At 54.5% G+C, this 16207-nt stretch overlaps 1 protein-coding gene across 5 annotated transcripts in view, besides 2 other annotated features; it reads right to left on the bottom strand.

Moving 5' to 3' along the window:
- GRAP (GRB2 related adaptor protein) overlaps positions 1-14296 on the bottom strand; it is a 30718-nt gene extending 16422 nt beyond the window's left edge. For 2 of the 5 annotated variants that reach the window (XM_047435155.1, XM_047435156.1), the window contains exons 1-3: positions 14176-14295; positions 9772-9981; positions 4730-4827 (exon numbers count right to left, since the gene is read on the bottom strand). In XM_047435155.1, coding sequence (XP_047291111.1) covers positions 4730-4827; positions 9772-9849 — 176 coding nt within the window. In that variant the 5' untranslated portion in view covers positions 9850-9981; positions 14176-14295. Of the gene's footprint in view, positions 1-4729; positions 4828-9771; positions 9982-14175 lie in introns of those variants that run through there. The other 3 variants (NM_001330148.2, NM_006613.4, XM_047435154.1) reach the window with 2 other exon arrangements.
- Positions 14177-14678: an enhancer, noted in NCBI's record as "H3K4me1 hESC enhancer chr17:18954567-18955068 (GRCh37/hg19 assembly coordinates)". NCBI's record gives its function as "activates a minimal SCP1, AML or CMV promoter by ChIP-STARR-seq in naive H9 embryonic stem cells {active_cell/tissue: H9 hESC(naive)}" and the evidence as "EXISTENCE:reporter gene assay evidence [ECO:0000049][PMID:30033119]".
- Positions 14679-15178: an enhancer, noted in NCBI's record as "H3K4me1 hESC enhancer chr17:18955069-18955568 (GRCh37/hg19 assembly coordinates)". NCBI's record gives its function as "activates a minimal SCP1, AML or CMV promoter by ChIP-STARR-seq in naive H9 embryonic stem cells {active_cell/tissue: H9 hESC(naive)}" and the evidence as "EXISTENCE:reporter gene assay evidence [ECO:0000049][PMID:30033119]".

The following is a 16207-nucleotide window of genomic DNA, read 5'->3' on the forward strand; positions in this document are numbered from 1 at the left end:
ACCATGTTAGCCAGGATGGTTTTGATCTCCTGACCTCGTGATCCGCCCACCGCAGCCTCCCAAAGTACTGGGATTACAGGCGTGAGCCACCGCACCCGGCAAAAAAAAAAAAACTTCTTAAGTCGAAAATATAAAAACATGACAAAAATAATAGTAGCTTTGATATGGTGAGGAAATATCCATTCCACAGTCTCAGGCCACCTGAATTTTTTTCACAGGCACAAGTTCCTTTTGCTGCTGACCAAACAGAACTGGGTATGCAGAAGTTGCCTGGTAAATGCTTAGACTCTTGCAAGATCCCCAGGGTCTGGGAGTGAAACTCCTTTTCCAGTCCTGCTTATCTTGCTGTGTGGCTCCTGGTAGCTCCTGGTAGCCCCCGGCCTCTTCAGGAATTTGCCACTGCTATAGGCTGACTTTCTGTCCCCCAAAATTCAAATATTGAAACCTAATCCCCCATGTGACAGCAGTAAAAGGTGGGGTCATTGGGAGGTGATTAGCAGTCCCCCTGAATGGGATTGGTGCCCTTATGAAAGAGACCCCAGAGAGCTCACTTGTCTCTCTGCCATGTGAGGACACAGCTAAAAGACACAGCCGTCTGTGAACCAGGAAGTAGCCTCATCAGACGTGAATTTGCCGGCACCTTGATCTTGAACTTCAGACTCCAGAACAGTGAGCAACAAATGTCTGTTGTTCATAAGCTACCCAGTGGATGGCATTCCGTGACAGCAGCCTGCAGGACTAGAACACCCACCATCGGAGGGGCTGTGTGGTCTCTGACTGGCTTTCCTAACTCCAGTGTTTTAGCCCAGCTTTGGCTCTGACCCCTTTATTGTTCGGATGGGGAAACTGAGGCCCAGAGCAGCCACAGGTCTCGTGGTGGCACCATGACAGAATGTTCCCCTTCACTCCTTCCATAAATGCTCCTCTCCCTGAGTCAGACTGAGCTCGGCACAGGTGGTGGAAGCCAGGCGGGGCTTTTCCTGTTGTTTCGGATGTTGATGAGCCCTCGGGGCTGAGTGCAGAAGGCGTGCGGTGCTGCACATGCCGCTAGTGTCCTGGCCATGTCCCGGCGCCGGCCTTGGCAGGATGAAGGCTGCTCAGTACAGACCTCGGGGCCTTTTTTCTGGTGATTGACATATTTGGCCTGGGTTCAGGGCAGGCTGAGGCTCCCAGGAACAGTCTGACTCCCAGTGGTGACTGATGGAGCAGAGGGGTAGACGCCCCAGCGCCTGGCCTTCCGGAGGCATGACTCCTAGGTGCGCATTCTGTACTGTCTCCAGCTGGCCCTGGTCCCCAGCCAGATGGAGCTCCGGTTACCCCCAGCAGCGATGACGCCAACAGTTTGCCCCACTGGCTCCCCCACTTCCCTGTCCTCTTCTCCACTGTTATATAAATTCCTTGTTATCAGGCTCGTGTCTCAGGGACGGCTTCCGGAGAAACCCGAACTCCTAGACATGAGATTCTAGACCACTGCTGCCCCCAAACGAATGGGGGCCCCTCGGCCCCTGTCCCAGCGAGTTTCCTTCTGGGAGGGGACGTGGGGAAGGTAGCCGCTGGGTATAGGGCTCAGGGCAACCATCCGGAGAGCTCAGCCTGGGTCTTCTGGGGTTTGGAGACCTGAAGGCAGGTGCCCAGCCAGCCTGGGTGTCTCAAGGCCAGAGGTGAATGCCACAGGCTGCAGCAGGAGGGGAGCGTAGGGGGCCCAGGGTTGGGGTTACCAGGCAGGGGAGCTGCAGAGAGCTTCTCCACCAGGAAGCCCCCAGCTCCGTCCCGCAACAGTGCCCAGCGTGGCCCAGGGCGGGAGTTTCCTGAGGGGGCAGGTTTCTTCGAAGAACCCACAAAACTCCTCAGGCGGCATCAGTGTGTGGGTGGCTGTTGCCCTCAGAGAGCATCGCAATCACACCCTCCCAGGAGTTCCCACGTCCCCTGCCAGCCCTGCCCCCACCATGGCTTGACGGATGGAGGCAAGAAGAAAGCACTTCCTGAAACTCCAGGGCCCGGCTCCTTCCCCCACACCAGTGTCACTCCATTTGTGGCCATCTCGCATCATTCCTGTTTTACTGATGTGGAAACCGAGGCCCAGATAGGGGCAGAGACGCCCCCACACCCCACCAGATTGCATAGCAAGTGCATGGCCTGGGACTCTCCCAGTCCCACAGCTGTTCTTATGAGCTTCCCCGCTGTCCTCCAGGGTGTCCCAGCCCAGGGCCATGCCACACGGCTGCAGTCCCGCTCCACCTCGTGCCAGCTGTGAGATCCTGGGGGGGCACTCAACCTCTCTGTGCCTCTGTCTGCTAATCTCAAAGATGGCGATGGTGGTGCTCAGCTCTCAGGGCCTTGGGAGGATGCATGAGCTGCTCGTACGCGGGTGTTTGCTGCTCCCCCCACACATCCCCCTGCCAGGCTTGTCTCTGCCTTCCCTGGCAGACATCTACTTGAACTTCCAGGCCCAGCGGGCCACACCCTTCCTCTAGGAAGCCATCCCTGACTCCCATGGGCCGTGAGGCTGGGTCACTTGCCGCTGTGGCCCCTGCTGATGGGGCTGGCTCTGGAGCACTTGGCGTACATTGTGCCTCCCCCGGGGGCTCCTGGGGTTGGCAGGGGTGAGAGGGGGTGCCCAGGGAAGGAGTGGGCCTGGCATAGGCACGAGGCCTACCTCTGAATTTCTGAGGCCCCAGCCCTCCCTCTGACCCCACACCTGAGGCCTTTATGGGCTAAGTCAGGTATGGAGCTGGAGTTTCCCCATAGTTATTTTGGGGAGCAAGGCAGGTGCTGAGGTTAGTCGAGGACACACCTGGGCATCACTTCAGGCAGGTTACTCGGGGGCTTGACCCCATCCCTGCTGTGTCCCAGACACAAATGGCCAGAGATGACCCCAGAGGCATGGGAGGCTGAAACCCTCCATGGCTCCCAACTGCCCTGCTAGAGTCTTGCCTCGACCACTGGCATCCCCTCGACAGGCCTGGCCCGGCACTGCGGTCTTTTGTCATCTTTTCTCCCCTGCCTGAGCAAATGCGACCCTCTCAGCAGCTGTAGGCCAGCCAGCCTTCCAGCCATTGCCAGGCCATTTCCTCCACCTGAAGGCCCCTCCCTGACAGCTTGGCCCAGGGGGATTGCTCCCGTTCATGCCCTCTGGCATGTCTGGATGGTCCCATTGGCTTACAGGGGCCTGGGGCACTGGCTCCAGCTTGTGGCCCTGGGTCGGATTCTCTCGTCTCTCTCCCTCTTCGCACACCCCCCTCCCTCTCCCCCTTAATTGACAGAAAGATCACAGAAACCTGCCCAATGTCACACAACCACGCGGGACATAGTGGGGCCTGGAACCCAGGCTGCCGCCCCAGATGCCGACTGGAAGCTGCAGCCTCTGTGGGGGAGGCTGGGAGTGCCTGCAGCCCGGGCAGGTGGCTGAGGACCTGGGTCGGAGGGGGCCTCGCCCAGCACAGGAAGCTGGAGGTGGTGGCAGCTTTGGAACTAACTTAAAGAGAGATAAAGAGGAAATACCTCTCATGCCCCACCCTGGCCCTGCACCTCCTTCCCTTCCCACCGCACAGCCACACACACATCTCAGCTCCCAAACTGTCCCGCCAGCCTGCTTGGCCCTGTCACCTGTCTCCATATCTGACTGAGTCCTACCATAACACCTCCATGGCTCCCCACATGGCTTGGCATTTGGGGGCCTCCTGCCAGTCCCACATGCCACAAGTTCTCTCTCATTGCTCTCCCTTTGCTCATCCTGACCCTCTCCCAGGGATGCCTTTCTCTTTTTCTACTTAACCAACTCCTACACATCCTTCAAAATCTCACTCATTGCCACCTCTTCTGAGAAGCCTTCCCTGAGAAATCACCTTAATGCTCACTGTCTTCCCATGTAGTATGTCCTTCATGTCCTCTTTCTCCCCCAGAACACAGCTGCTCTGACCCCTTGTGTCTCCAGCATCACCCGGGCTGGACCCCCTGGAATTGTGGCCAGTGTTTAGTGAATGACTAAGTGGCTGTATCTTGGGGCTGCCTCAGCTGCCATTTAAAGCATATCCAGTTGGTTTGCATAGATTTCTTGGGCCCCATGCCTGTTCTGAGGCTGGGCCCTGCCCCAGTCATTCTCAGGGCAGCAGTGTTGGCTGCCACCTGCCCAGAGCCCAACCTGGGACATCCCTAGGCTGGTAGGTCCCAGGCCCCAGGATAGCTGGGCCCCAGGCCCAGTTCTTGCTCCACCCTGGTACCAGACTCTGCTCTGCCAATGTCCAACTCCCCCCCAGACTCCAAAGGCAGGGCCTACAGGGTCTGCTTCCCGCCCAGCCCTCTCCCAGCCACCACCCAGGGCCGGGCCAGCTCTCAGCAAGAGCTCTAGAACCCTCCACCCTGAACAGATTGGAGCATCTGCCCTCCTTGAGTTATAGATAGGAAAACTGAGGAACAGAGGGCAGGGACCTGCCTGAGGCCACACAGCAGCCAGTGGCGCAGCCAGCTGAAAGCCCAGGGCCTTGTCCTCTCTCGGGGACCTCCTGGACATTCTCCAGTGGCTCACGTCCTCAGTGTGGAAGCCTGGGCTTGCCCTGACTCTGTCCCCACTCTGGGGAAGTCCTCAGAACTCAGTCTCCTATGCCTGCCCAGGCTGGTGGCCTCTGTGGAGCCTGGGGGCCCCAGACAGATGGACAGAGGCCCAGGAGTGAGGGGGTCCCATGGCCAGGAGAGATAGAGCCACGGGGATGGGATGGGGCTGTCCACTCACGGATGGGGCTTGACGCGGATGTAGTTCTTGGGAATAAATCCCTCGACACCCCGGAGCTCGGCCTTGTACCAGTTCTGGTCATCCTCCATGTTCAGGATCTGTGGGCAGGAGACACAAAGCCACTCAGTCACCGAGAAGGAACAACTGTCACCCCCGGAGGCCCCACTGCACGCCAGGCCCCAGGTGGGCCTCGCCTGCACCAGCTTCTGTGCCTACTCACAGAGCAGGGCTGGGGGCCTGGGACAGGACTTGCCCACGGTCCCAAGGGCTGAATTAGAAGCCCTCGTTCCTCAGTGCTGCCCATCCCCTGGCCCCAGGACAGCCCATCCTCAGGTGATTCACAGACTCCAAGGGAGGCACAGTCGGGGACTCGTAGGAGGCTTGGGGTGGCTGGAGCTGGATTCTCAGGCTCCGACACCAGGAGCCCTGCGGACCATGGGGTTTGCAGGAGCAGAACTGGGGACCTGAGTTCCTTCCTGGGTTGTGCCCCCGAGTTTGGGGGGCCCACAGCACTTACATGCCACGCACTGAGCCTTGGGGTGAAGGTCGGGGGACCCGGCCTGAGCACAGCCACCAGTGGTCACCTAGGGTCCCTCGCATTTAGACAGCTCAGGGGTGACAATTCAGTGGGGGGACGTCAGGCTCTGGGGAGCAGATAAGGGGGCCTTTGGTCTGAGACAGACTGGTTCTCAGCCCTGGCATGGCCTGCTCGGTCACACGGGCTCCTCTTCCGAGCCTGTGAGGCCCCCATCACACCACAGGTGGGCCCGGAGGAACTGAAATAGCCAGAGCCGGGGTGGGAGTCCCTGAGGGGGAGCAACCAAGCGACCAAGGCGGGGGGCGGGGCCGGGCCTGGGAGGGGCACAGCATGAGGCCGGGGGTCCTGCCTCCATTCCCTGGGCACGCCTTCCGTCTGTCCCCCTGATTCTCATATAGCCCCCAAGGTCAACATCACCAAATGCTATTTTACAAATAACAAAACTGAGGCCCACAGGGGAAGTGACTTGGCCAAGGCCACGCAGCAGGGGAGAGGCAGAGCCTGTTTGGTCAGTCAGGACTCTGAGGCCTGGAGTTTTTGGCTCACTGGTCAAGGGGGTCCTGGCCCACCAATTTTTGCCTCCAGTCCTCTTTGTCACTGGACTCCAGCTTGAGGGGACATCTCTCCTGTGAGGGGACATCTCTCCTGTCAGTCCTGGAGCAGGTTCCAATGTCAGCTCAATCCTTCAGGGGTACTTGAGAGAAAAAATTGGGCACGGGGTACCAAAGGCCCAGGGCGGGCCAATACAGGGGCATCAACTCCAGCAGTGATATTTTGCCAAGAGTAGCTGGGATTGGCCTCCTAGGGCCCAGGCCTGAGGCCCCACCCTCACAGGTGGCCTCTGCACCCCCATCTCCACCCCCGCTTTGTCCACCAGGCCAGGCTGGCTGAGCCTCTTCCTTCCTGCCCCTGCAGCCTGGGCCAGGTCAGCAGACCCAGGGGTGAACGGAAGCAGGTGGCTGACTCAGGAAAACTTTCGCTCAACACAAAACAAAACAGGCCGGGCGCAGTGGTTCACGCCTGTAATCCCAGCACTTTGGGAGGCTGAAGAGGGTGGACCACCTGAGGTCAGGAGTTCAAGACTAGCCTGGCCAACATGGCGAAACCCCGTCTCTACTAAAAATACAAAAAAATTAGCCAAGTATGGTGGCACACTCTCATAATCCCCAACTTTCTCAGGAGGCTGAGGCAGGAGAATCACTTGAACCCGGGAGCTGGAGGCTGCAGTGAGCCGAGATCGCGCCATTGCACTCCAGCCTGGGCAACAGAGTGAGACTCCGTCTCAAAAAAACAAAACAACTCCCCCAACCTAAGGAGAAAATGAGGGCCTGTAGGCCACATACCACAGCCATGGATTCCAGGAGGATGCCCTGAAGCCTGGGGCTCCAGAACATTCTGTCTGCTTCTGACTCTCTCTGTGGCCTTGGCCTCAGTGTCCTCCCTCGTCTGTCCAATGGGTGCATTTATGGCCTGCCCTGCATGCAGCAGTGCGGACACTGGGTGGAATACGTCTCATGCAGTCCCTGCTTCGTTTTGTCTCCTTGTCATCTGCACTCAGAGGACTCAGGAATGTCCCATTGGTTACATTAGCTAATTTCTTTTTCTTTTTTCTTTTTTTTTTTCTTTTTGAGATGGAGTCTCACTCTGTCACCAGGCTGGAGTGCAGTGGCGCAATCTCAGCTCACTGCAACCTCTGCCTCCTGGGTTCAAGCGATTCTCCTGCCTCAGCCTCCCGAGTAGCTGGGACTACAGGTGTGTGCCACCACGCCCAGCTAAATTTTTGTATTTTTAGTAGAGATGGGGTTTCACCATGTTGGCCAGGCTGGTCTCGATCTCTTGACCTCACGTTAACTGATTTCTTACTGTGAACATTGTTTGAAAGCCCCAGACCCTCTGAGACCCGGGAATTCTCACAAGGGAGAGAGGCCAACTCCTCCCTGGAGGAGTATCACTGCTCAAGGTGAGAGGCAGAACTTGGCCTGCCCCTGAGCCTTTGCCCACATGGTGCCCTCCACCCAGGCTGCCGCCCCACTTTACCATCCCAGCCCGATGCAGTTGCTGCTTGATAGTTGTTTACTGAGCACCTACTGTGTGCCAGGCACCCCACGACAGAGCAGGGAACAAGAAGCTCACATTCTAGTAGGCAGAGACAGACCATAAACAAGGGAAGAAACAAATAAGCAAGGTAGTTTAATGGAGCAGTAAGCGCTGTGAAAAATGGACATCAGGTGACAGATGGAGAATGTCTGGTTGGGTGGGAGCAGGGAGATTGTCAACACGGGACAGGTGGGGTGGTCCAGAAAGGCCTCTCTGAAGAAGTGACATGGAAGCTGAGACCCGAATTACAAGAAGGAACCAGCGGTAAGAAAATGTGGGGAACAGTGTCCAAGACGGACGGAACAGCCAGTGCCAAGGCTCTGAGGTGGGGCCAAGCTCTGTCCCTGAAACAGAAAGGAGGCCAGGGTGTCTGGAGCTGAGGGAGGGAGGAGCAGATGTCATAAGATGTACGGGGGAGGACCAGGCTCTGAGTCATGGCCACTGCATGGAGACTGGGCTGGGGAGCAGGGATTGTTGCGGGGAGGCCTTGGGAGCCACCACGCAAGCCCAGGTAAGTGACAATGGAGGCCTGGGCTGGAGGAGGGGCTTCGGGTAGGTTTTGCCAGAGTTGCCGACAAGACAATGACAGGCAGCAGAAAGTAGGTTCAGGGAGCCCAGGGCTGGCTGTGTTGGGTCTGGACCGTCGCCCTTTCCCATGGAGATGTCAAGGTGACATGGGCTTCCTGAGTCTGGGTCTCATCATCCAGGCTGCTCGTGCAGAGATGGGAGTGAAGCCACTAACCACATGCCCCTCCAGCTGGCAACAGCATGGGGGTGCGTGCACCCAGAAACGCCTGGCCTATCAGGGAGGGAGGCTTTGTCCCAGGGAGGTGATGTTTGGGGCCATTTGTCCAGGGTGAGTCCATGAGCCAGAGTTTTCATCCAAGACCAAAGTTCAGATTTCAAGAACGGGCTTCATCGCCCACTCTCCCAGGCTGGACTCAATCTGTAGGCAGGCAGTGCCATGGCAGGGGCTGGCCCACAGGGAGCACTGGAAAATACTTGCTAGACGAGAGGACAGGATGGTCGCGGAGCTCAGCTTCCACCCCAGCCACTTGATCCCTCCAAGCCTGGCTCAACGCCTCCCGCGCACCCCATTCCTATTTCATCACTGCCCCACTCCCTCCCAACACCACACTTGGGTCTAGAGACCTCGAAGTGCTCTCAGATGAGAAACCAAGACTTGGATCCCCGCAGAGGGTCATGCCTTGGGCTCACAGCCCCAGTGCTCAGCCTGGCCCTGTCCCCATCTGGCCACATGTCCACGAGGCCGACAGCCAGCACTGCAGTGACCCCAGGTGCCAGCACCAGCACCCCAGCATAGAGAAGAAGGAATTGCTCCTCCTCCTCTGGACCCCAACCCCCAGCCCAGCCTGTTCAGACCAAGCGCAAGTTCCACAGCCAAAGGGACACGGGTTCAAAACTGACTCCATACCGAGCAGGTCATGTTGCCTCCCTGTGCCTCAGTTTAGTCACCTGTGAAATGGGGGTGCCAGTCCCCATTGCTTAAATGGTACATGAGGTGTGCTGCTGAGTTCGGGGCCTGGCTATAGCAGGGTGATGGCACAGGGAGCTCTCCCGTCTTGTGCTTGAAGCTTGTGGCCAAGGGCAGCGCCCAGGGCTCAGCGCAGAGGAGCATCCAGTCTAACACCCATTGCTCCAGTGGGGAAACTGAGGCCCAGGGAAGGGCAGTCACTTCCCTAGTGTGGTTTACTGGCAGTTCCAGTGCACACGTCTTGGCATGGCCACTCCCAGAATCCTGGGCATGGCTTTCATATGCAAACTTTTAAGCAAGGACATTTCCAGAGACACATTCCACAGGCCCAACTGTCTAGACCGTCTTGGAAGGCTGCAACATCTGTCAAAAGCGGCCCAGACAAGGAGAAATGAACGGTGGTATGACTCTATTTTCCCTTTTCTCCACACTACTGGGAAGCTCATCCTTGACACTTTCATCTTAGCTATTTTAGCCCTACTAGGTTAGCATGTGTACTTATTTCTTTCCTAAGACCTTCTCTCTCTCCCTCTTTCTCGCTCTGTTCTCCATTCCCATACTCTGTCTCTCTCTCTAGCTCTCATTCTCTCCCTCTCTCAACAATTTTCTTTTCAAACTTTTTCCTGGAAAACTGGGGGTTGAACTAACTCCTGCCAGACACTGTGGTAATATCTCATCGAATCCTCACAACAGCCCCAAAGGAGGGTCATTAGTTATCTCCCCATTTCCTAGATGGAGAATCTGAGGCTCCGAGGGAAAAGGTGGCTTGTCCAGAGTCACACAGCCAATAACTGGAGAGGCTGGGCCTGTCTTCCAGGGGCCACAGTCTGCTTGGGACAGTCCCAGGTCCCTGGTTCCTAAATCCACCCCCACCCCGTGTGGGGCCAACTCAGCAGGCTCCAGCCCCCCTACCTTGAGTGTGTCTCCCTTGTTGAAGGCCAGCTCGTCGCTCTCTGTAGCCTGAAAGCTGTACAGGGCCACGGACTCCATGCCGCTGCTCGGGGCTCCAGCAGCTGGGCTCAGAGCTGGGCCGACAGCTTCCTGCTTCCTCTGCAGTCGAGGACGGTCTTCCTTTGTTTTGAGTGCGCGTTTGTTCTTTTGAAGTTGAGACTGAAACTGCTCCTGATGGGGGAGAAACAGGAAACAGACATGTCACAGAGCAGGGAGGGCTTGTGAGCCAGCTCTGTCCCTACCTCAGACCCCAGGTGCCAGGAATGGCCCTTGGGGAGTCTCCCTGAAGCTCTGGGAGTGGGGCCCCCTTGTGCCCATGTTTTATCATCCGTAAAAGTGAGGTGCCTGGAGGAGAAGTGCCAAAGCTGTCCTGCTGGCTCAGGCACTGAGTCTCATGGCACCAGATGCTGGCCTCCCTTCACCAATCTGCCAATGACTCTCCATCTTTTCCTAAACCCTGATGCCTCTTGTGATGCCCTGCCTCCTGCTCCTTCAATCCCAAGCTCCTCACCTGGCATTCAAGGCCCTTGCAATCCACCACCTCCACCTGCCCCTACAAACAGCCCCCATTCTCATCCTTTGTCATCCCCTTCACTCTAAACAAACCCAGGGCTTCAGCCACAGCAAGGGGCCACACCAAACTCTCATTTCAACCCCAGACTTTTGCACACGTGGTTCCTCTGCCTGGTGTTCTCCTCTTTCTGCTCCCAGGAGACTCCTATTCATCCATCAAAGACCAGCTCAGAAGGTACCTCTTCTGGTTTAGACACTGGGCACCTTAGGTGGGACTTAAATCCTAAGGTCAACAAGACTTGTAGGTCGGGCGCGATGGCTCATGCCTATAATCCCAGCACTTTGAGAGGCCAAGATGGGCGGATCACTGGAGGTCAGGAGTTCGAGATCAGCCTGGCCAACATGGTGAAGCCTCATCTCTAATAAAAATACAAAAAATTAGCCTGGCATGGTGGCATGTGCCTGTAATCCCAGCTACTGGGAAGGCTGAGGCACAAGAATCGCTTGAACCCGGGAGGCAGAGGCTGCAGTGAGCCAAGGATCCATCCAGGCTCCAAGCAATCCTCCCACCTCAGCCTCCAGAGTAGCTCGGACTACAGGTGCCCACCACCATGTCTGGCTAATTATTTGTATTTTTAGTAGAGATGGGTTTTCACCATGTTACCAAGGCTGGTCTTGAATTCCTGGACTCAAGCGATCCTCCTGCCTGAGATTGCGCCATTGCACTCCAGCCTGGGTGACAGAGCGAGTCTCCTTCTCAAAAAAAAAAAAAAAAAAAAGAGAATTGTAAATAAATCTCTACCTTTCCTTAGTGGGTTTGTTATGAGCAGTGTTATCGGTGTAGCAATTCTGAAACTGTTTTGCAAGTGTTGCAGGATAGCGCACAAATGGACAAGCACAGCTGTATTGTTTGGAACCAGGGTTCTCCCTGGGAAAGAAGGGAGACACAGACGTGGAAGGAAAACCAGGCAGAGCCCTGTGGTGTTGCATGGACACTGGATGAATCAGTGTGAAGTCACATTGTTTTTTTTCTGTAAAGAAGTTTTTCTTCCTTCATTTATATTAATATAGGCTCATGGTTTCATATTTTAGCCAGTGGATTATAATCCATTACTATTACATTTATTTTGATGCTTAAAATGCCCCTGATTAGGCCAGTGGGGTCTCCTTCAAGCTGTCTCCTTATCCTTTTGACATGGACCCATCATTCTATGAACACACCCTGACCTTCTGGCCAATAATAGAAGAATCGCTTGAACCTGGGAGATGGAAGTTGCAGTGAGCCGAGATCGCACCATTGCACTCTAGCCTGGGTGACACATCAAGACTCCATCTCAAAAAAAAAAAAAAAAATAGTTGAGAGGGAAGAAGAGAAGATGACAGCTGCCCGCCGCCCACTCTGGAGTCCCTGAGCCAACCAGGCAGGATGGAGCTGGCCCTGGCCTCACCCAGCTCCATTCCAGGGCTTCTCCACGCTGCCCTCTACTCAAAGACCCCTGCCTTCTGGCTGCCCCCGACCCCAAGGGTGACAGGATGTTATAAGGCCCCTCTTTCCGGCTCTGTTGCAGCTGAGGTTTCAAAGCCTCAGAATGATGCAATGGAGGGGTTGGGATCGGCCCCCGCCTCAGTTCTGAGGTGCTTCTAGCCATATGAGGGGAGGAGGACTTCCCCTTATGAAGCTGAATGGGTGTCCCCTGGGGCGGTGGGACAGATGCCGGGTTTATTTTTATGTGTTTTAGAAGTATTTATTCTCTGCCAAGTCCTTTACAAAGAGGTAAGTGACCAATAGTTGGTAGGTGGCAGGGCTGGGGTTCAAACCCAGGCAGGCCTGAGGGCCAAACCATGCCTACAACTCCTTCGCCGCATGGCCTCAACCCGAAGGATTCCTGCCCAAGGTGGCTCGGGCCAGAGCTGGGAGCCTGGGCTGCCTACTGTACAGTGAGCTCAAGGAGTGCAGTGAGGTAAGCAGCAAAGCTTTGTTGGAGGGTAAATCTGCCCTGATTCCGGGAGACCAGAGAGGACCCCACAAATGGGACTTGACTGAGAGGACCCTTGAAGAATGCAGCACCCCAAATGAGGCAGACGCTGGGGCCTGGAACGAGGGGCCATCGGAAACTGGAGGCTTGGGCCAGGCGCGGTGGCTCATGCCTGTAATCCCAGCACTTTGGGAGGTCAAGGCAGGCAGATCACTTGAGGCCAGGAGTTCGAGACCAGCCTGACCAACATGGTGAAACCCTGTCTCTACCAAAAATACAAAATTAGGCTGGGCACGGTGGCTCACATCTGCAATCCCAGCACTTTGGGAGGCCGAGGCAGGTGGATCACCTGAGGTTAGGAGTTTGAGACCAGCCTGGCCAACATAGTGAAACCCCGTCTCTACTAAAAATAAAAAATTAGCTAGGCGTGGTGGCGAGTGCCTATAATCCCAGCTATTTGGGAGGCTGAGGCAGGAGAATCACTTGAACCCAGGAGACGGAAGTTGCAGTGAGCCAAGATCATGCCACTGCACTCCAGCCTGGGCGACAAGAGTGAAACTCCATCTCAAAAAATGTATATACAAAATTAGCCGGGAGTGGTGGCGCACGCCTGTAATCCCAGCTACTTGGGAAGCTGAGGCAGGAGAATTGCTTGAACCCAGGAGGCGGAGGTTGCAGTGAGCCGAGATCACCCCATTATACTCCAGCCTGGGCAACAAAAGAGAAACCCTATCTCAAAAAAAAAAAAAAACAAAAAAACAACAAAATAAGGAGTTTTGGAAACCAAGGTTTTATTATGCAGATGAAGCCTCCAGGTAGCTGGCTTCAGAGAGAATATAGTGTAAATGTTTCTTATCAGACTGAAAGAGTCCGTTCTAACAGTAATTCCAAAAGCGAGGAGGTTATAACAAGGCATGTCCAGCTCCCCCTTCCCATCATATCCTGAACTCATTTTCAGGTTAACTTTGGAATGCCCTTGCCGAGAGAAGGAGTCCATTTGGATGGTTAAGGGGCTTAGGATTTTGGTTTTGGTTTATGGAGGTCCCTCAAAAGCTGCTCACAGGAGGAAAACTCATCACTGGCCACAGGCCACACCAGGCCAGGGCAGACCCAGCCACTGTCTCAGTGCTGAAACCCTAACCCCCTGTGATCAGCTGAGTAACAGCCCCGAAGACATCCAGGTCCTGATCTCAAGAACTTGGAACGTTCCCTTATATGACAAGAGGGACTTTGCCGGTGCGATTATGTTAAGGGTCGTGAGATTGGATGGAAACTGCAATTTCAATGCAGTTTGAGTTCTGTAATTAGTAGACTGGGCTAGACTACTGGACCCTGGAACACTCCAAACAGGCTGATTGGGGAACTTTTTATCATCAGAGATTGGCTGAAACACCTGAGAGAACTCCCTGAAAAAAAATTTTTTTGAGACAGAGTTTTGCTTTTGTTGCCTGAACTAGAGTGCAGTGGCATGATCTCAGCTCACTGCAACCTCCGCCTCCCTGTGTCTACTTGAAATACAAAAATTGGCCAGGCATGGTGGCGCACGCCTGTAGTCCCAGCTACTTGGAAATAGAATCACTTGAACCTGGGAGGTGGAGATTGCAGTGAGCAGAGATCGTGCCACTGCACTCCAGCCTGGGTGACAGAGGGAGACTCTGTCTCAGAAAAAAAAAAAAAAAAGAAAGAAAGAAAGAAAAGAAAATGAAGAAACAGGCCAGGCATGGTGGCTCACACCTGTAATCCCAGCACTTTGGGAAGCTGGAGCAGGAGGAATGCTTGAACCCAGGAGTTCAAGACCAGCCTGGACAACATAGTGAGAACCCATCTCTACAAAAATAAACAACAACAAAAATAGGCCAGGCATGGTGGCTCTCACCTGTAATCCCAGCTACTCAGGAGGCTGAGGTGGGAGGATCGTTTCGGTCCTGGATTTCAAGGTGATAGTGAGCTATGATCACACCATTGTACTCCTGCCTCTGAGGACAGAGCGAGACTTTGTCTGGAAAAAAAAAAAGAAAATGCAAATGAAGAAACATGGATTCATGAACATCTATGAATATTTGGTTTAAAAAGGTGAGGCCATGGTGTTTGCACTGAGATCATGGCCCCTCTTGCCCTTCCTCTCAGCTCAGTGAGGCTGAGACTCCACTCTGGACAGCTGCAGCCAAGAACATGGGGTCCCCTGCTGCCTCCAGACCAGGGAAACAGGGCTCCCTCTGCCCCCAGCTCCCAGTGGGAGGGCTTGCCTCCCACGAAGAACAGGACATCCATTTCCTATTCTACCCCCAGCCACCTGTTGCTGAGACTAAGTCCTGGATGAGTGTAGCCAAGAGTTGGGGGCCCCCTTCTTGCACCCAGCCCCACTCAAGGAACAGAGGCTCTGCCTTGGGTGCAGTGTGCTGCGAGTGCTGGGGTCCTGATCACTCCGGCCCTGGCTCATGTGGAAGTAGCTCGACAACAGGAGAGGCAAACTTTGAGGACCTCGGCCATTGTCCCCACTCCCACCAAGTCCTCAGCCCCTAGCGCAGGGTGTCACTCAGAGAGAAGCTTTCCAAAGTCTCCACCCCCAGCTCCAGGGCCCTGGCTCAGAGAGATTTTTGTCTAATGAAGAAACAGGCCATAAAAAAGAGACTTCCTAATCTCTTCCCAAAGCAACTGACCTCATTTGCTACAGAGAACGAAGGAATTCAAGGCAAAAGTTGCTTTTGTTTTGATTTTGGTTAGGTTTGTTTGAGAGTGCAGTGATGCGATCTCCGCTCACTGCAACCTCCGCCTCCTGGGTTCAAGCGATTCTCCTGCCTCGGCCTCCCGAGTAGCTGGGATTACAGGTGCCTACCACCACACCCAGCTAATTTTTTTTTTTTAAGTAGAGACGGGGTTTGCACCATGTTGACCAGGCTGGTCTCGAACTCCCGACCTCAGGTGATCCGCCCACCTCAGCCTCCCAAAGTGCTGGGATTACAGGCGTGAGCCACCGCACCCGGCCCAAAAGGTGCTTTTGAGAATAGTAGAGATTATGGTGAGAGATAATTAGGAGAAGATTCAAGACACAAGCTGAACTCTAGGCTGCTCGTTTACAGGAGAGAACAGGGAATAGCACCAGTAGAGGGAGCCCTCCTGAGGTCAGAACAAATAGCAGACATTGACCTCACACACTATTTCTTCCAAGGAGCCAAACTTGATAGGATCAGTGTGTAGTGCAGGGCATTATAGGAAATTATAAAGCAATCCATTGGCAACTTGCAGAGCTTATTTCAACCAAGCAAGGATTAGAAAAAGAAGGGCTGGGTGCAGTGGCTCATGCCTAAAATCCCAACACTTTGGGAGGCTGAGGTGGGTGGATCACTAGGTCAGGAGTTCAAGACCAGCCTGGCCAAGACGGTCAAACCCCGTCTCTACTAAAAAACAAAAAATACAATAATTAGCCGGGCGTGGTGGCAGGTGCCTGTAATCCCAACTACTTGGGAGGCTGAGTCAGAGGATTGCTTGAACCCGGGAGGCGGAGGTTGCAGTGAGCCGAGATTGTGCCACTGCACTCCAGCCTGGGCGACAGAGCGAGACTCCATCTCAAAAAAAAAAAAAAAAAGAGAAGAAAGAAAGAAAGAAAAAAGAAAAGAAAATTTGCATAGCTTAACAGCTGGATATGGTCAGGGAAAGAGGAAGAGAGCCTTCCAAAACCACTGTCATCCCAGAGTAACTGCAGGCATACTCAAAGCTGGGCCCCCTGAGAACGACCATAGAAGCTGAACATCGTACGGAAGAAATAGACTTCACTAAAACAATCCAGCCAGTCACTAAACAAATAAACAAGAAAATAATAACAAGCCCAGGTCAGGGGAGACTCATACCCAGAATTGCTACAATGTATTATTTAAATGTCCTGTTTCCAAAAAAAAAAAAAAAAAATA

Source organism: Homo sapiens, chromosome 17, assembly GCF_000001405.40.
Source record: "Homo sapiens chromosome 17, GRCh38.p14 Primary Assembly".
Taxonomy (NCBI): Eukaryota; Metazoa; Chordata; class Mammalia; order Primates; family Hominidae; genus Homo; species Homo sapiens.